General features: G+C 42.1%; 1 protein-coding gene across 15 annotated transcripts in view, besides 1 other annotated feature; it reads right to left on the bottom strand.

Moving 5' to 3' along the window:
- Positions 1 to 20,923, bottom strand: part of PPFIBP2 (PPFIB scaffold protein 2) — a 153,306-nt gene that overhangs the window by 99,749 nt on the left and 32,634 nt on the right. For 12 of the 15 annotated variants that reach the window (NR_147792.2, XM_011520415.4, XM_047427751.1 and 9 more), the window contains exons 2-3: positions 18,017 to 18,116; positions 1,789 to 2,003 (exon numbers count right to left, since the gene is read on the bottom strand). Coding sequence is in view for 14 of the 15 variants with exons in the window: in XM_011520415.4 (XP_011518717.1) it covers positions 1,789 to 2,003; positions 18,017 to 18,080 (279 nt within the window). In the remaining variant the exon portion in view is untranslated. Of the gene's footprint in view, positions 1 to 1,788; positions 2,004 to 18,016; positions 18,117 to 19,056; positions 19,213 to 20,923 lie in introns of all 15 variants that reach the window. The other 3 variants (XM_011520413.3, XM_047427750.1, NM_001351862.2) reach the window with 1 other exon arrangement.
- Positions 3,914 to 4,415: an enhancer, noted in NCBI's record as "OCT4-NANOG hESC enhancer chr11:7584372-7584873 (GRCh37/hg19 assembly coordinates)". NCBI's record gives its function as "activates a minimal SCP1, AML or CMV promoter by ChIP-STARR-seq in primed H9 embryonic stem cells {active_cell/tissue: H9 hESC(primed)}" and the evidence as "EXISTENCE:reporter gene assay evidence [ECO:0000049][PMID:30033119]".

Raw genomic sequence — 20,923 nt, 5'->3', positions numbered from 1 at the left:
CTGACCCCCTAAAAGTACTTGCTTCGCCATGCATAGGTTAGTGATGGCCATAATTACTCTAGAAGATTTATGAATGCAATCACTTTTAGGGAAATCTCTTCAAAGGAAGGCATTCCCTAAACCATTGTAAATAACCCCAAGACAAAACTGCAAATCTGAATGCAAGCTGTTTTCTACCAATGCATCTTGAAAAAACCAACAACAATGTCAACTGCCTTTGGATCAAAAATATTTTTAATAAATTTCCAAAAACTGTTTTAAAAGTTAGATTCATTGTTTATACCAAATGCTAAAAAATATTGTTGATGGATTGGAGTTAACCATAAAATAAAAATCAAACCATAAACTTACTAGAGGAAGATACAGGTGAACAGTTATCTGTTCTGAGGTTGGGAAAGGCGTTGCTAGGGCCAAAAGGAAAACAAGAAACCAAAATAGGAAAGACTGATAGAGTCAAGTACAGTTGTTTAAAATTCTGTGTCTCAGAAAGCACCTAAACGTTATTTAAAAACAGAGTGAGGAAAATATATGCTACAAATAAAGCAAACGGCTAATAAAAGGTCATTCAAATAGATAAGAAAAACACTAAAATCCTAATAGAAAACAACAGCATAGACTACGAATAGACTAGAGTGGGAGAGGTGCATCCAAGAGGCTCAAGGTGATTTCTGGGTGTACAGGGAAAAATATGGGAACTATTTTTTAACCTATCCTTTAAAACTCTATTTTGGTGAACAGTGGATACCCTAAATACCCTGACTGACTTGATCACTATGTGTTATATACATGTAAGGAAATTTCACATGTACCCCACAATTTGTACAAATAAAAAACTTTAAAATTCTGTTTTGTGGTATTTTTATAATTTAGGTATATTAGTGAAATACTGGCCAGGTGCAGTGGCTCACGCTTATAATCCTAGCACTTTTGGGAGGCCGAGGTGGGTGGATTGTTTGAGCCAAGATTTCAAGACCAACCTGGACAACATAGGGAAACCCCATCTCCACACACACAAAATTTTTTTTTTAATTAGCCAGGTGTGGCTCGCACTTCTGCAGAGGTGGTACACTTCTGGGAGCAAGAGTTGGGAGAATTCCCTTGAGCCTGGGAGGTCGAGGCTGCAGTGAGCCATGATCAAGCCACACTGCACTCCAGCCTGGGTGACAGAGCAAGACCCTGTCTCAAAAATAAAATGCTGCATGTGAATATGTATATGGGAAATGCATTCTTTGTCCAGATACAGGATATAGAATCAAAAGTTTAGAGACCATACAGAGGAATACGAATAAACTAATTTTCAAAAGTTTAGCCTTTTTACCAAAGAAATGCAAAAATAAGAAAACATTGCCTCCTAAGAAATTTGTCAAGCTTTTTTTTAAATCAATGAGGTAACCAGTCTTTTGTTTGTGGTAAGAAACAAGGGGTAGTGGGATCTAGCCGAGGGTAGAGACACCAGCCAGGGATTAGAACTCAATAAGCAGTACATGTAATTCGAGGGTGTGTGTGTGTGTGTGTGAAATCTTAAATGTTTGCCCTTCTCTGGCCCTGGATTTCCTCAGGAGAGGCCAACTGTGGACCATGGAAGGGCAGAGGGCATAGCTTAAGTCGCTTGACTGGGCTCTATACTCCTTGATAAGAAGGGCCACCCTGCAGCGTTGGCCAAAGTGGGATGGAAGAAAAGGCTGGAAGGTATACAGATGACTCAACAGCCCCAGTCAGCAGTGGCACTCCATGGGCTGCACCATTACATTCCCCAGTGGTTCCCAATCAGGCCACGGGACTACTCACCAAGCTCTCTTCAAACCATTCCTTTATGTAGGCAGCTGTTGGGCCAGGGATCTGGCTCAGGAGGGCTGCTCTCTCCTGAGGAAGCTCCAGCATCTCCAAGGCCAGCCTCAAGTCCTCGATGAGATGGAGCACCGGGAAGGGGTTCATGTAGGAGGCCGGGGAAGCCAGTCCAGGCTCACAAGTACCATCACTAAGATCTGCACCTGTTTTAGTGCCTGCAATGAGAGAGAGGTGAAAACTCAGTAAGAAGGGTGGACACCCTGAGCAAGGTACTAGTAAAGAGCAAAGGTGGTGAAGAAACGGTGAAAGGGACAGATAAGAAGCTGGGGGTGAGCTGGGCATGGCGGTGCACGCCTGTAGTCTCAGCTACTTGGGAGGCTGAAGCGGGAGGATCACTTGAGTCTAGGAGTTCCAGGCTGTAGTGCACAATATCTGGCTTGCGAATAGTCACTACTCTCCAGCCTGGGCAACAGAGTGAGACCCCATCTTTAAATAAAGAAACCTGGAAGGCCACCTGGACCCCAGCTGAATCACTCACAATGTAAACTTTCCAGAAATCATCTTTATCTAATCTCGGGCTGGACAGTGTAAAAATAGGCATACAGAGGTGGATGACTGTACCCTTTGGGACTGATGTATGAAGCTCACACACTTAGACAACTGGGAAAGCACAGCCAGTCCTCACTAGGGACCATAAACTACGTTTAGACAGTAAGATCTCATTCTTCAGCTTTTAGAATTTTTTTCTTTATATTAAAGTCATAGATTACACAGTTGGCCACCAGAGATTCTTCCATTCCTGTGTGTGCATTCCACTCCTCTGATAAAGGGATGGATCTTGACTCTGGGCTGGCCTGGTGACTTTCTCTGATCAACAGAAAGCAGTGGAAGTGACTCTGTACCAGCTCTGGGCCTGGGCCTTAAGAGGTCTAACAGGTTCCACTCTTTCTCTCTTTGACCCTAAACTGCCATGTAACAAAGCCCAGTTACCTGGCTAGAAAGACAGCCCCACCTTTCTTGGCCCTCCCAGCTGTGGTGACAGACATGTGAATGAAGCCATCTGGGATCTTCCAAGCCCCCATGAGCCACCCCGACTGACACCAAGTGGAACAGGGAGGAGACACACCTGCAGAGTGCTACTCAAATCATGAAATTACAAAGAAACGATGGTAGTTTTAAGCCACTATGTTTGGGTTGGCTTATCCCACAGCACTAGATGACAATTACTGTATTCATTTTGGTGAGGGTTTAGTGAACTGGAATCTTTCTGGATCTTCCCAGTTAGAAGATCTTTATATCCCCTATATATCTCTATATGCTCTTAAATTTGCATTATTATTATGTATATCCATACCTCATCTCCTTATTGTGGGCTGTGGAGTCTGAGAGAGAGTCCATATTACATTTAACTGAGTTCCCAGCATCATGCACTCTACCCAGTAGACACTGAAAAGGAATCTGACAAAATGCCCGCACATATACCTGAATGAGTATCTAGAGAGAGAGTGCTTCAATGTCCTCAGAGATCTGGTATATTGGGTCAGCTCTTTCTAATTTGATATGCCCCAAATTCAACTGTTCCACTATTCTTTTTTTTTTTTTGAGACGGAGTCTTGCTCTGTCACCCAGGCTGGAGTGCAGTGGTGCAATCTCGGCTCACTGCAAGCTCCGCCTCCCAGGTTCATGCCATTCTCCTGCCTCAGCCTCCCGAGTAGCTGGGACTGCAGGTGCCCGCCACCACGCCTGGCTAATTTTTTGTATTTTTTAGTAGAGATGGGGTTTCACTGTGTTAGCCAGGATGGTCTCAATCTCCTGACCTCATGATCCACCCAAATTGGCCTACCAAAGTGCTGGGATTACAGGCGTGAGCCACTGCGCCTGGCCTGTTCCACCATTCTTACACCTATTTAACAACAGCAGCAGCAGCAAAAGTCTCCTTTCCGTAAGTTCAGTGATACATTTTTCAAATCAAAACTGGGGCAACAGTCTAACAAAGGAAGTCTGTGCTCCTTTCAGCAGTAAGAAACACTTTAGAAAATATGGTTTAGGTGGTGGAATTTCTAGGGCATTTGCATTATTTATAAGGCCAACCAGATGAAAGATTTGAAATTAGGACTCTACTGGAAAATGTGAGCTTGGGGCCACCGCATCCATGGTATGCTGCAGGCCTGACATCCAATTCCAGGTCCCTTTACTCTTCTCAGAGCCAACCTCCTCCTTGCCAGGCAGAAATCCACACAGATGGAAACAATTACCATTTGATTGCCAGTTTGCTTTCTGAAAATGCATGATACAGGGAATCATGGATCACCATCCACAAACAAGTCAGAGGCTCTGGGGAGCCAGGAAACTGCCCAATTACCCACCACTGTGATGTGTGCTCAGCACTTTCTGGCTCCTACAAATCCAATTAAGAGTGGACTTAGAACAGCCACAGCCAAACTTCAGGGAAGAAAACGGACAGAAGCAGAGCAAGACCTCCAATCTCCAAACCATTGCTAAGTAATCCCTCTCCATTCTGTACACATGAATTTTAAACACGTAGCCATCCAGTTTAAGTATTTCATAAATGTGGGAAGAGTGAGTCAGGCTAAAAGGTGGATGGAAGATCTGGGTTTTCATTAACTTTATATCACTGTGTGGCCTTGGAAAAGTCTCTTCCTTTCTCTGTGACCCTCTCTGCCCTAAAGCTTTGGGATTCTTTCCTACTATTCAGAGTATGCGTGTGTACATGTATGTGAGTACATGTATATCTGTGCCAAGTTTTACAGGCATATGTGTGTGTGCGTGTATATATATATATATATATATATATATATATATATATATATATATATAAAACTTTAATTTCTATTTCTTTGAAACTTATATTTCTTTTATTACTTTAACAAAACCAATAGTCAATAAATACTAGATGAGGGAAGTGAAAAGATAAATATTTTGTCCCTGAGCTAGTTGTAATGACAGTGACAGAAAAGCCTCAGATGACAAACGCCACTTGACTTTAAATTTAAGAATCAGATAAGGTTACAGGGCAGAAAACTAAGGGAAGAAGAAACTTCCAGATGCCACCATGGGGCTTTGGGATGTAAATGACAAAATGATATTGAATAAACATCTATACAAAGGGAGATACAATTCTAAATTTCCTCTCAGAGGAAGAGTTTGATAACCAGCCTCCAAGAAGCCGTCAGTGACCCATTCCTCTTAATATTCGTAATTTGTGGATATTATATCACGGTTGCTCTGTGTCACCAGTAGAATATGACAGAAATGATAGGATATGACAGGAATGTCACTTCCAAGGCTAGGTTATAAAGAGCACTGTGACTCCTTCTGCTTTATTGTATCAGGCCACTCACTCTGGGGGAAGGCTGCTGCCATGTTATAAGGACACTCAATCATCCCTATGGAAAAGTCCATATAGTGAGGAAATATGGCTACCTGTCAGCAGACATCAAGGAACTAAGCCCTTCTACCAATGGCCATATGAGTGAGCCACTGTGGAAGGGATCCTCCAGCCCAGGTGTTCCCAGCCCTAGCCACAGACTGGTACCAGTCCATGGCCTGTTAGGAACTGGGCTGCACAGCAGGAGGTGAGCAGTGGGCCAATGAGCATTACGCCTGAGCTCCGCCTCCTGTCAGATCACTGGTGGCGTTAGATTCTCATAGGTGTGTGAACCCTATTGTGAACTGTGCATGCGAGGGATCTAGGTTGCTCACTCCTTATCAGAATCTAACAAATGCCTGGTGATCTGAGGTAGAACAGTTTCATCCTGAAACTTTCCCCCGACTCCCCAGGTCCATGGAAAAACTGTCTTCGACAAAACTGTTCCCTGGTGCCAAAAAGGTTAGGGACTGCTGCTCCAGCCCCAGAAAAGCCTTCAGATGACTGTAGCCCCAGCTAATATCTTAACTATAACTCTTTAAGAGACCTAAGCCAGAACCACCCAACTAAACCGCTCCTGAATTCCTGGCAGATAGAAACAGATGATAAATGTTTATTATTGTATGATGTTATGTTTGGGGTAATTTATGTTACACAGTAAAATAACTAACCAATAAAAATAGCTGAGAATATTCTGAGAAGTACAATCAAGAGGCACTTGCCATACACTGCTAAAATATGTGGCTAGAATTACCCTCACAGAAAAAAATAAGATCTTTATTATACACCATACACAAAAATAAAATTTAGACAGACAAAGATTACACACTTAAAAAACTGAACTAGAAATACAAAGAGAAGATAGGTCAAAACTGAGTGAGAGGAAGATTTTATAGGCACAAGAGCAATTGAGCAAGACATAAAAGAACAATAAACCTGACTACATAAAATTAACTTCTGGAATATTAAAAACAAAATTAAAAGACAAATTATAGCCTGAAAAACCTACTTGTAGGCCAGGCATGGTGGCTCACGCCTGTAATCCTAGTACTTTGGGAGGCCGAGGCAGGCAGACCACCCGAGGTCAGGAGTTCGAGACCGGCCTGGCCAACATGGCAAAACCCCTTCTCTACTAAAAATACAAAAATTAGCCAAGCATGGTGGCAGGCCCCTGTAACCCCAGCTACTTAAGGCTGAGGCAGAAAAATCGCTTGAACCTGGGAGGCAGAGGTTGCAGTGAGCTGAGATTGTGCCATTGCACTCCAGCCTGGGCAACAAGAACAAAACTCTGTCTCAAAACAAACAAACAAACCTACTCGTATCAATTACAACAAAAGCTCAGTATAGCCTTCATACAAAAAGAGACCTTATCTATCAATAAGAAAAAGTCCCCAAGCCACTTCTCACACACAAAATAGGCACAAGGTTCTTATATGGGCAGTTCTGGAATTAAAAAACAGAAGTAAAATTTAAAAATATGGAAAGAAAATGTTTTTGCATTGGTAAATAGAACATTTAAAAATGATATTCAATTTTCACCTACGTAAATTGTTGAAAATGCAAATGCAATGATAATTAATGTTGGCAAGCTCATATGCTGTTCATAAGGGTACCCTCATACACTGTTAATAGACACAAAGACTGGCCTAATCTTTCTGAAAAGCAATTTGGCAAGATACAGGAAAAATATTCATGCCTTTTGACCTAGCAAGTCCAATTCTAGAAAGTTAAGCTAAGGAAATATAACCAGACACGTAGTCAAAGATTAATATATAAGAATAATCTCAGCAGCATCTTAATTTTCAAAAAGTAGGGGAAAAATCCCCCCAAATTGGTGAATGTTTAAATAACTTCTGAAAGAAAGAATATGATTCATATAGCTGTATAAAAAACAATTATCTAAAGACTCAGTAACATGGGGAAATACTTGCCTTATTCAGTAAAACAATTATATGTATATGGTATATATATATACAGAGAAATACCCAAATGTTGACAATATTAATTTTCATTACTTTTATAACAATTTGTTTTAAACTTTAAATTTGTTGACTCTAAGTGAGAGATTCAAGTTTGACATTTAGTTTGCACAGGGACTCTAGGTTCTCTTGTTCTTTCAAAGTCCCCACAGGATGCTAGACAATATGGAAGAATTCAGGCCTTTATTTGGGCAGGAAATTAAGTGAGTAAACCCAGACAGGTTTCTTCCTTGTGCTGTTGATTAGCTTTCCCTCGCTCTATAATTGCATTAGTGAAAGGGGGAAAAACCTGGTAGTATTTTCACAGAACAATCATTTCAGAAAATCTCAGAGCAGGCCTCTTGGTAAGCTAGCCATGTGCTGCTTAAGGGGGAACCTTCTGGAAACAGGACATACTCAACTGCCAGGAGTCCCCCTTACCCACAATGAACAAACAGAAAAGCTGAAAAAGATAACACTCTTATTTTATTTTATTTTTTAACATGGAGCCAAGCTTGAAAGACAGTAAAAACCTTGGGTACCAGAAACAAAGAGTGAACTCAACAGTGAAATTAATTCAAGCTGACTCTAGAGTAGCCCAGGGGCAAAATACCCAGATATAGGGAGGAACCGAGATTGGGGCTTGAGGTTTTAATGCCTCCAGTGAAAGCAGTAAGTTGAAAGTGAGACCCCTATAGAAAGAAAGTACCCCAAAGTATTGCCTATTTCATAAATGGATCTGAGAAAATTCACCCAACGGCAGGGAAGCTTGCAGTATGCTAAGTAACCCCCTAGGTGTTTATAATACCACACATATACACCCTCCCTCACCCCCCAGTGAGACATCAAGCCTACAGGCCTCTGCATACCACTGGTATAGTGCCAAATTTCTACTATGCACTGACTACCGAAATCCCAAACCAGAAATCAACACACATGCACACAAAATGGTCCAGAATAGTGCAACACCTAAAGCCCAGCATTAGCAATTGCAAAATCTCCCAGGAGGCTCATTTCCACACTCCACACACATTTCCCACAATTACCTCCTGTAAAAAAATTACAACCACAGTGGGAAACAAATCAAAATAGAAAACAAATAAAAAAAATGTGTGCCCTAAAACCTGGAATTAACAGGAAAATTTAGAAGACACCATAAACCACTAATGCTGGATATGCCTAAATATAAGGCAAGATTTGCCCCCCAGATTTCTCAGAAAAGGGTAATTCAACTTACAGTCAAGCCTAAAGTTTCTCTTTGGGGAATTCTATTTATTTCATTTTGAGCAACAAAGCAGTATTTAGAGTAGCACAAATATTTTCAACTTTCAATGCACATTGAAGTCACCTGAGCGGTTTTACAAACTCCAGATGCCTGGGCCCTCCTCCAGGGATTCTAATTTAATTGGTCTGAGGTGTGACCTGGGGTAATAAAAAGTTTCCCAGGTGATACTAAAATGATGCTTAAGCTGAAACCATGGCACTAGCAGATCACCTCAATGAAGTCTAGCTTTGATGGTTATAGAGGTCACCTGAGAATTTTTATTTTAAGGAGCAAAACCAAAATTTAATGAAGATTTAATAATTATTTTTGAGGATAAGACCACATACAATGCAAGTGTTATAGGATTTCATTGAAAGCCTTTTTTTCTTTCTTTTTTTTTTTTTGAGACAGAGTTGCTCTGTTACCCAGGCTGGAGTGCAGTGGCGTGATCTCAGCTCACTGCAACCTCCGCCTCCCAGGTTCCAGCAATTCTCCTGCCTCAGCCTCCCGAGTAGGTGGGAGTACAGGCACGCGCCACCACGCCTGGCTAATTTTTGTATTTTTTTAGTAGAGACGGGGTTTTGCCATATTGCCCAGGCTGGTCTCGAACTCCTGACCTCGTGATCTGCCTGCCTCAGCCTCCCAAAGTGCTGGGATATAGGCGTGAGCCACCGCAGCCAGCTGAAAGCCTTTTAATGATCGCTTTCGAAAGCACATAGGGATGTCTGTGGTAGTGACTGGGGTTGTTCAGATATTTTGTTCTCCTCTACTTGCATTCATAGTAGGCTCACAGTTCTGTCCCTTGAAGTCACTCATGGTCACATAACTTCCTTTGGCCAATAAACAGAAACCATGTGTATCACTGTGGGAGAAAGTCTAAGAGCCAGTACACAATTCCTCATATCTCTTCCACCTGCCCTGACTTCTGGCAATAGTGGAGACTCAATCAGTCTGTGTTCAAGTGAAGATGACAAGGACCAGAGCTCTTGGCAGATCTCAGGGAACTTGCAATGTGTACAAGAAATAAACCTTTGTGTTTCAAACTACTGACATTTGAGTAGTTTCTCACTGCAATATAACTTAGCCTATCTTCATTCATGCAAAATATATATTTTGTACAATTAAGACATATAGACAAGATAAACTTTTAAAGTCTAACCTTTTACCACGTAAATGGAGTTCTTTGGCATGAGATGAAATAGCTGATGACAGCATCATATGTGAATTTTTAAAGTGTTGTATTTAAAACAAATTCCAAGTAAGGATGGCATGTTCTAAAACCTTGCCACTTAAAAGAGGGGTCCACAGGAGTAGCAATAGCAAAACCTGAGAGTTCATTAGAAATACAGTCTCGGATCCCATCCCAGACCTACAAATATGAATCTGCATCCCCAAATGCTCTACAACTGCTCTAGAATGCTAGGATTATTCAAAAAGAGCGCTCAAAATGATAGAAACAAAGATAAATATAAAAAGCTTGAATAAAATTATTTCATCAGATGTGCCAGTGATGGGAATGGTGGTGGGCACCTGTAATCCCAATTACTCAGGAGGCTGAGAATTGCTTGAACCCAGGAGATGGAGGTTTCAGTGAGCCAAGATTATGCCACTGTACTCCAGCCTGGGCAACAGAGCAAGACTCTGTCTCAAAAAAAAAAAAAAAAAAAAGTGCCAATGAGACAAGAAGTTCATAAATTAACATATTATTTTGAATTATTGAAAGCCTTTTACTTAGTGCTTAAACACGTAACTAAATCAATACACTAATATGAGTAAATATTTTGTCTATTTGGGAATATTTGGGCATATGTCATATGTTTTACATAATTAAAGGAGAAAAGGAAGAAATAAAAACCTTAAAGAAAAGGAAAGCATGATTTTAAAAAATAGGAAAATCTGAAAAAAAAAATACAAACCAAAATAAAGAATGCAGCCAAGCAAATTAATTAAGTGAACAGGTTAAATAGCAGATGAGAGAATTATTGGAGAGGAAGATAGATTTGAAGAATGCTGCAAACAGAGACACAAGTGAAAAATATAAAAGAGGAGTTAGGAAGCATGGAATTAAAAAAGGAGGACAAGGTCCAACACAATTCTTCAGGAATTCCAGAAGAATACAGAGGATGAAGCAGAGACAACAAAGAAAATGGCTATGAATTTTTCAGAATGGAAAACTTGAGTCCTCTCAGCTTAAAGACACTCACTGAGTCCCAAGAATGATACATCAAAACAAATCCACCCAAGAAACAACACAGTGAAACTGAAGAACACCAAAGATAAATAAGAAGTTTAAAAACAACCAGAGACAGAAGACAGATACAGATTGCCAGACTTCTCATTAGCAATAAATCCCTGTGACCACAAAATAATACCTATGGATAGTGACCAACCTACAAGCCTGTACAAGATAAACTATCATTCAAGATTATGAACATTTAAGGACATTTTTCAAATGACGACTAATACAATCTATTACTGACAGACTATCAAATTTTAAGGAAGAAAACTATCATGCAAAAAAAGCAGGATGAAAGAATCAACTATGACTGGAGAGGTTGTTAAAACTGTTAAACAAAATGCTATCAACTGAAAAAACAATAATTTGGAGAATACAAAGATACTAGAATACTGAACGAAAATAATGTGGAAGATGGGGCAGTGATGAGAATTAAAGCATTCTAAGAGTCAAGTATTATTTATTTTATTTTTTGAGACAGAGTCTGGCTCTGTCACCCAGGCTGGAGTGCAGTGGCACGATCATTGCAAGCTCCACCTCCTGGGTTCATGCCATTCTCCTGCCTCAGCCTCCCGAGTAGCTGGGACTACAAGTGCCCGCCACCACACCCGGCTAATTTTTTGTACTTTTAGTAGAGACGGGGTTTCACTGTGTTAGCCAGGATGGTCTCAATCTCCTGACCTCGTGATTCGCCCGCCTCGGCCTCCCAAAGTGCTGGGATTACAAGCGTTAGCCACTGCACCTGGCCGTCTTATAAAGAAATTTAATCGTAGTTTAAATTTTTTTCCACACAGAACACACCAGGCCAAATGCTTTTATATGTTAATTCTATCAAACATTAAAGAATAATTCTAATCTAACAAAGTACTTTAGATAAAATATAATGGCCAACTTGATGATAACAAAATGGAAAGCCTCAGTAAAATGGACACATTTCTAGAAAAACTTAACTTGCCAAGACTCAATTAAAAAATTAAAACCTGTCCACACCATTAAAAGAAAAAAATCTTCAAACAAGAATACACGAGGCCCACACAGTTTTGCAGCTCAGTTCCTATACCTACAACTATAGTAAATATTTAAGGAACACATAGTTCCAGCCTTATCCAAACTCTTTCAGAGAATGGAAAACGAGGCACAGTTCCATAAAGGACTGGGAGATGGGGTCTACCAGTGAGGGAAAAATGGAATGAGGGCTGTCAAACAGCGGGTGCCCCAGTAGCTGTTTTGACCTCTTCATACAAAGGGCAGTCTTTGATAGCTCTGCCCCTTAGACACTCCTAAGACCCCCACTCCAACTCTTCTGAACAAAGTCCTAGCAGGGCTCTCACAACCTGCAATGGGAAACAGCGAGTCCGATACTGATGAATGCTATATGCTGCTGCACCTCAGAGAAGCCGGGGACAAGATCAGTCAAGGACTGTTCAGAGTATGGACTCAACAGTCCTCAGCACCACAGCTGACTTCATTCACAAGCCAACGTGAACAATCTCGGTCTTGATCAGAACTTTCTCTGCCCCTGCACAATCTTTTGTTGTTTTCTTTTTACAAACCCAGACGCTAATCAGAGTTGGCAGAAAGGCCCCAGCTGACAGGGCAACTTCTTTAACTGTCATAAAACAGACTCCTCTTAACTATTCCTCCTCAGTGAGTACTGCTTGTACATAACTGCATGAGTAACCTCATGCAGAGCCAAGAGGAGTAAGTGGCCTTCTGTGTCCTGACCACGTGGCTCTCTGGTCCCCTGCCAGAAGTGGCCTGACAAAGTAGCCACTGAACCTGTCAGTTCACAAATTAAGCTCCATGCAAAATTAGTGTCTGTGGCAGTTGCTCTAGGCCATCCAGAGGGAGGTAATTAAGCAATATAGAGTTCAATTTCAATTGTCAACAGTGTAATTCAATTACAGTGAATTTGCAAGCAGAATCACAGGGACTAATCAGGAGGAAGACTAGATCAAAGGTTAACATCCTACTGGAAACTATAATAATGGTCTTTCATATTAGAACCAAGTCATTATTGACAAAGATCCTAGAGTCTTTAACAGCCACCCTTTCCCAACTTTCTGATATAAAATACTGAGGTCCCAATCTAGTATAGACCCAATCTAGTCTAGTCTAGTCTAGTCTAGTCTAGTCACCTGGGATTCAGCCATTCAGATTTCAAGAATTCAACTTTACAAGGAGTTTCATTTAATAGTCCTGCTTACAAGGCATTTCTTTTTGCATTTACAAGAACCAATTTCTCTCTCTCACACCTCCCAACATTGACCACCTGAGACAAAGGCCATCGCACCGTGGCTCTGGAGGGGCATATTTACCACTTGCGCATTAGGATGTCCTCTCAGAGTACTCCTGGTCTGATTGTTTACAGGAGTGATAATCATCCCGCACTGTTTGCACTGTTTTAGTTGATGCAGGAGGAGACAGACTTTTTTTTGCACTAAAAGCTTAATTACATAAACATTGATATCACATGCCCAAAGTGCACTCTTTTTAGAAGGAGTTTTGGAAAGTAAACAGTAACCCAGCCTACTGTAATTAGTAAGAGGCAATTCCTTGTTACATAGTATATGATTACTAGTGATCACTGAATACAGTACATCCATTTTAGTAGGAATCTGTGTTGTTTCTGTGTAAGTGGTTACTATTTGGGAGGTCCAGGAAGCCCATAAAGGTTTTTTCCGTTGAAATACGTGGTAACTGTGAGAAAATACATTCTTTGGGTACTTGAGTACTTTGATGGAAAAGCAGTTGTGTTTTGGCAGTGGTGGTGGCACTACTTGACATCATGCAATCTAAAATTAATAAGAGAACATAAATAAAGAGAGGAAGATTTAAATGTTCACACAAAAATGTCATTTCTGCAAGATCTGTGGTGTGGTGCCAGTTTTCAAACTTCTTTAGCTGTGCCACCCTTAAGCAAAGGAACCCTTGCTTAGAAGAAATAACGTAAGAGAGACAAGAACAAAACCACTCTGGCTTAGGGATTGTGAGCAAGAGCAGAAAAGTATCCTTCCCTCAGTTAATTCTTTTCTCCTACAGACAGCCCCATGCATCAACATAAAAACCAGCCCAGGAATAAAAGGAGCCTGGAAGAGACTCAGATGGCCCTGGAATCAAATCTCAGCACTATGATCTTGGGGGGTAAAAATAATTTAATACTAATATCAATAAAACAAATAACTTACATCAATTAAGCACTTTCTAGGTGCCTTATCTGCATTAATTCAACCCTCACAATAATATGAGACAGGTACTATTATTACTGCTATTTTATCGATAAGTAAATTGAGGCTCAGAAGAATTAAGCAATTTGTCCAAAGATCCCACAGCCAGCACTAAATGGCTGAGCTGGGATTCAAACCCCTACAGTCCAACTCTGTAGTCCATGTTAATAACCACAAAAATTCTTAACCTCTTTGGCCCAATTTGGTTCAGCCATCCTAATGCCATCATAAAAATGAGGAAAAGTGTCCTCAGCAATCTTGAGAAAAAGTAACCTGAACAAGGCATTCAAAAGAATGATCATTCTTTTTATCAAGAATAGCATAGAAAACATGCCCTCCAGATACTCACTAGTAACCTCAGTGTTGAATAATCTGTCAAATAGCTCCTGTCAAATATCTGTGTGAGCCAGTTACTACTTCAGGGATGGTTCATGGGACATACAAACTACTAGTCTTCAAAAAAAATAATAATAATTTGTTATTCCAAAAGAATCAGTGAAACAAGGGTGAAAATAGAGAAAATAAATGAAGTTCAGTATGCAGCCAGATAGAAGATGTATACAGAAACCTATATGTATACCTCCTAACCAATGAAAAGGAGATCCTAGTCACAAAAGCAAATGAAAAAAAAACATCTAGCATGTATTAAATGCTTATTAACTAAAATGCCTAAAACCACCAATTATGGCACTGGAGATACAGTGGCAGAGCCTCTGTCCTTAAGAAACTTACATGCTGGTGCAGGAGGCAGACAATAAACAAAGAGGCAAATATGAATGTGATAGGTCAGGTGATAAGTGCTATAAAGAAGTATAAACAAGATACAAGAACAGAGTTATGTGGGAATGCATGATAGACACAGTCAGGGAAGGCCTTCCGGTACGGTAACATTTCAGCATAAGCCTAGATCTGGAGGAGGGCATTCCAGGAGAGGGGGGGGCAAGCTCATGGTTAAAGTGAGATACACCCTGGGAACGTAAAAGGGATGCATAAAGGGCCACGAAAGCCAAGCCATGCTAAGACCTTGCTGGCCGTGGTAAGGGCTTTAAACTTTATCCTGAGATGGGAAGCCATTGAGGAGTTTTGGAGAGAGGAGTGATATGACTTAATTTACATTTTCAGGTTTACTCTACAGCTCTGTGGGAAACAGTCTATAAGGGAGCAAGAACAGATGCAGAGAGCAATCAGAAGACCACGTATTAAATCTGCAGACCCTGGGCAAATCCAGCAATGGATGCACAAGCCTTATACAATGAAAACCACAAAACTCAGATGGGAGAAATAAGAGCTTTAATAAATAGAATACTACCCCGTCCCCAGAAAAGATTCAACATGATGAAGATTATTTTTAGTCCCTCATTAATCTATCAAGAGCTAACATTTTATAGTGCTTACTATGTGCCAGGCACTGTTCTAAGCACCTTACGCATGTCAACACAGGCAACTCTCTAAGATGGGTATTACTATTCTCATTTCTAATATGAGGAAACTGAGGCACAGACCATGTAAGTAACTTGTTGTAGAGCTAGGTTTTCAAACAAGTAGTCTGGCTACAGGTATTCCTCCCTACCAATCTGCAAAGAACCAATTTGCAAAGAATGCCTTCTCTCTACAAAACTCTCATACCTGTTCCAGACAGAAAAGCCCAGGAGCCCTTCTAGATAGAACCTTCCAAGATGGAGGACTAAGGAAATGGAAGGATAGAGCAGTTTGTACTGGAAGATCAGAAGATTAGGTCTCCTGGGTTTCACACAACCCACACTTAGGGCCCCTCTCTCCACACACATCCCAGATTCTCAACTGCAGATCCTGGGTCAAGGCAAGGCCTTAAGGATCCAGCCACATAATGTCTCTCAGAGACAAAATGAATTTTGCCAGAGGCTCTGTCATTTCAGGAATGCCTGTATGGAGAAATCAGGAGTCAGAAAGAGGTACTGACCCCACACAAGGCTACTTTTCTTTAGAAGTCTGATTCATCTCTCAAAAATTCAATATTGTGAAAGTGTCAGTTCTTCCCAACATGATCTAAGTTAAATGCAATTGCAATCAAAATCCCAGAAAGTTACTTTGTGATCAAAAAACTGACTCTAAATTTTATACGAAGAGGCAAAAGGTAGCCAACACAACACTGAAGAACAAAGTTGGAGGACTGACAGTACCCAACTTCAAGACTTACTAAAGCTACAGTAATCAACACAGTGTGGTATTGGTGAAAGAAAAAATAAATCCATGAAACAGAATACAGAGTTCAGAAATAGACCTGAATATATATCACAAAAATATAATCAAATGACCTTTGACAAAGCAGCAGAGATAATACGTAGAGAAAAGATAGTATTTTCATCCCTCCCTGACAACCATCAAAGAGGTCTGCCAGGGACTCGCTCAGTCTCCCCTTTGCTCTTTGGCTGAAGGCTCTGAAGTGATGACTGCCTCAGGCATTCTCAGGGAATGATCCTGTAGCTATTATCCCAATGCACGTGAGACCCCGAGGAGCTCACAGGTCAGTATCTCTAAAAGGATTGCTAGGAAATCCACTTTCTTGACTCTTTCTCCTCAATAAGGCATCAGAGACCCTAACCTAGAACAGGACATCTGTATTCCAGAGGGACAGAACTAATAGGAGATAGATATCTATAGATATCTATATCTATAGATATAGATATAAAGGGGAGTTTATTAAGTACTATTAACTCACACGACCACAAGGTCCCACAATAGGCCGTCTGCAAACTGAGGAGCAGGGAAGCCAGTCTGAGTCCTAAAGCTGAAGAACTTGAAGTCTGATGTTTGGGGGCAGGAAGCATCCAGCACGGGAGAAGGATGTAGGCTGGGAGGCTAAGCTAGTCTAGACTTTTCATGTTTTTCTGCCTGTTTTATATTAGTTGGCAGCTTATTAGATGGTGCCTACCCAGATTAAGGGTGAGTCTGCCTTCCCCAGTCCACTGACTCAAATGTTAATCTCCTTTGGCAACACTCTCACAGACACACCCGGGATCAATACTTTGCTGCATCCTTCAATTCAATCAAGTTGACACTCAGTATTAAACATCACGACATCCCAGTCTATGGATTCTCTGAAAAGCAGGACATTAGTCATGGCTTCTCAAGGGCCCTCTATCAACTGAGAAATTGAGAAGCAGACAGATGATAGCTAGAATACATCACATTACCAACAATAACCTGAAGAAGCTGCAAGACACAGGCATACTCTCCCACTTCAGGCTCAAACACCAAGAGCCCTCTGTAAGTCAGATGAAACCCTCCAATGGGAAGGAAAAGCAAATGCCTGAGAAAGGGCAGTGTCAGGTACTCTGTGTACTTCCTGGGGTCTAGCCACACTTGGCCCAATACCTTCCTCCACGCTCTCTTCCAGCCACAGCTCAAACAATGAAGAGCAAAGTTCCAAAGAAGCACATCCAATCTACCAATGAGGCCACTGAAGTGTATCAGGTAAAGTCAGAAGACTTAGGACCTTCTGGAAAGATTTCCAACAAAACGTTTGGTCTAATCAATATAGGCTTCTGGTTGCTCCCATGAAGAAAGGAATCAGCTGGAACAGCTAATTGATAGTCCTTTCAAATTAACCACAGCTTTGCTAGATCTTTTCTAAGAAAAAGTCCCCTACTGGCTAATGCAAATATTAAAACCAAACAGTTGAGAGGGATAAAAAACAATATGGCATAAAGAAAATTTGAATCATTAATTGAATCAATACAAAACTGCCTTTCATCTCTGAAACACACTGGAGACCATCTGAGGACGCTGACACCTGCATTAGGTGGCAAAGTCTGCTAGATTTCAAGTTTCAGATCAGCTATAATAAGCCATGAAAAGCTCTGAAAATTTTACATTAGAATCAGTCTCACTGAACCCAAACTGCCTCACAGCCAGAATCCAAACTGAGACGGTAGATGGTAGGTACATCCACACTGTCTCAGCAGAGACCAGAACGATCACACCAGACATCAGAGAGTTGTATAAGTTCGTATCAAAGAAAAAAAAGAGATTACATACACAATAACACCACTGAAAAATAAATATAACAAAAGGGGATTTTCTCTATGCCAAAAAAAAAAAAAAAAGTAAAAGGAGAGAAGCAGTTCCTGGAATGTGGAGGATGAGACCTTGGTTGCTGGGGTTCCCTGGGCGTACCTGCAATGATCCCGTCCATTTGCTCCAGGGCAGCTTCCAGCGCATGACTAGCATCAGAAGCCATGACTCCTTTTGCCTGCCTGGCCTCCTCCTCTTCTTACTGAAAATTCAAATACAGAACAAAGGAAAAATTACAGAGAGTTCCATGTTACGCACACAAGATCGCAAAAATCTTTCATTCCATCATCACACAACGTGTTTTCATAAGAATCATAGTAGCCGACATGTAGTTTCTGCATCTCCATGGCCTTTTCCCTCTTGGCATGAGTGCTTTTTCCATGAATCTTTAGCACACAATCCCATTCACTTCTGTAATGAAAAACCACCAGGGCTCTCCAGAGTCACCTGTGGCAGCAAGACGGCAATTGTTAACACCTCACCAGGTGTAACAATTGGAGTCCCAGGTTCCAGAAGCTCCGACCCCACTGTGAAAGGCGCCACTAAGTGGCGTAGGAGAGCAGCACACCTAACAGGGACACTGTCAGGGCGTACAAGGCAATGCAGCACAAGGGCAGGGCCTGGGACAATCCCTGCAGGCATTTAACTGTCTTACATCTGCATTTGCCCTAGGCCTGCAGTGCTTTCCTTGGGTGGGTGTGAGCCAGGCTGAGAGGGCTCAAATGCCACTTCCACTCCTCCAATTGGGAAAGGGTGCACTGCCTAGGAAGTCTACAGGCCACAAGGATGTAGAGACAGCACCCAGGAGCACCATAACTGACCATCTTAGATCCACTCTACCCAGCACGATTTGAGGTTCAGAATCCCATCTTTTCAGGGCAGATGAACACCTCCAAGGATACACAGTCCGGCCACTACCTTAATGCTGTATCCCCTAGCTATAGCAAAGGGGAACTGCCCAATGCCCCTCCCCTGTCCCTCAGGCAATTGCTTCCATCTCTGGACAACTCTACCTCAAGGAAGGTCTTTAGTTTAAACCCTCTTCCTGCAGCCTCCTCTCATTTTTCTTGTTCCCCACCCTCTCCCTGGGTAGCAAGGAGGGATTTACAATAGCACTTGTAATCCCAAGAGAATTAGCTCACGTCTGTAAACTGGAGGAGTTGCTGTTTGCTCATTCAGCAAATCTACACATGTGCCGAATGGCCATACACGCTGTGGAGAACAGGGGCACGGCTTCCACACTCAAGCATGGTGCAGCAGAGGAAACAGGTGGTTCTGAGGCTCTCCGCCAGTTTTTCCTGTGAAGTGGGACATTTAGAGTGAAGACAGGAAAATGGGCACCACCCAGGAATGGCTTCAGAGATGGTGTGGATAAGGATCTCAAGACCAAGGAACCACACCGGACTGCACTAGGAAATAATAGTTAAATCCACAGGCTCCAAAGTCAGATAGCTTGAGTTCAGACCCAGCTCTGCTATGTACTGTGTGATCTCTGAGCCTCAGTTTCCTCATCTGTAAAATGGGGATAACAGCATCTAACTCATAGATGTCATGATTAAAATTATGTAGAGAGCACTAAGCACATTCCTTTGCACAAAGTGTTCAATATGTTAGCTTTTTTTTTAAGTGAGGATATAACATCAGGACATATTTTTGCCAGCTCAGAGGAAACTTTAAACAAAAATAGGTAGGTGCAGGGAGGGAGAACCAGATAAACTCAGGAGGCTGGTTCGTTTGGAGGCGGCAGGCATGGGGAAGGAAGATAAGCAACCATGCTTGTGGAGGGGGAGAGGGCAGGGATTTACAGGTGCTAAGGCCAAGGAAGGTTCAGAAGCAGGCATTCAGCCTCGGGGGTCAAGAACCACTGCACAGTTAGCTTAGAGGGAATGAGAATGGGAGCTCACAGGGTGTCGGGGAACTTCAGTGGCACCTCAGGGCCCTGGCAGGAGCCAGAAAAGGCTGCAACAAGGAACAGAGCTGCTCCGAGGTGAGAGGAGCAGCCAGGCCGCTACAGAGCGAATACGGTGTGGAAATCCTGGGGCCTGAATGGAGGCCAGCTTTGGCCAGGATAAAAGAAGAGGTAGCAGGGAAAAGGGGGGAAGCAGGAGGAAGGAAACAATCTGCAGACTCTCACCTGTTCAGCATAAGGGATATTAAAAGTTTGAAATAATCCCTCCAAATCCTTCCCACTGCTCTTTCTCTAAGGGGAAAATTCCAAACTCCTTACTGTGGCCTATGAAGCAGGTTTCAGGATCAGGCCAGGCCATGCTCACATCTCTCCCCACATGGCTCATGCTTCAGCAGCACTGGTCTCCTGTCTGCTCCCGAGCCCTCCAAGACCTTCCCTCCTCTGCAATACGCCTGCCATCCCCCTACCCTGAGCTCACTTCCTAGTTGTCTGCACAGCTGATTTATTCTCATCCTTCAGGTCTCAGATCCAAAGTATCAGAGAGGGCTTCCCCACACCGCCCCCCGGCACCACGTAAAGCAGCCCCTTCAAAGCACAACAAATCCACAGTATCTTGTTCTATGTATTTGTTTCCTTGCTAACTGGCCACCTTCCCACAGAGGCAGAGGGACCCTGTCTGCCTTGTTTACTCCCAGGTTCCCACTGTGTAACAGATAGATACTTATGAATAAATGGACAGATCCATGCAGCCAGCATTGTGCTAGGCCCTAGAAGGATACTGATAAATCAGACCTAGTATCTGCCCCCATGAACCACACAATCTAGTGGAAGAGACGGAAGTATGAACAAATAATTATGACACAGTGCAAGGTATGTTGATAGAGGCAGGTGTGCAAGTTCCCTGGGTCTTGAAGGATGATAGAAGCTTTCTCAGAAGATGAGGAGGAGAATGCTGTTCCAGGCAGAGAGTGTGGTGCACAGGAAAGCCAGGGAAGCATGTAAGGGCAGGATGTAGTTGGCAAAGGCCAAAATGGTTGATGAGATTACGCAGGAGCACCCAGCTGCTCAAGATGAGTCAAAGCCTTCCATGGAATTCACAT

The sequence above is a fragment of the Homo sapiens genome, chromosome 11 (assembly GCF_000001405.40).
Source record: "Homo sapiens chromosome 11, GRCh38.p14 Primary Assembly".
NCBI lineage: Eukaryota > Metazoa > Chordata > Mammalia > Primates > Hominidae > Homo > Homo sapiens.
The sequence above is the reverse complement of the archived record's forward strand: the minus strand, read 5'-3'. Positions and strand labels throughout refer to the sequence as shown.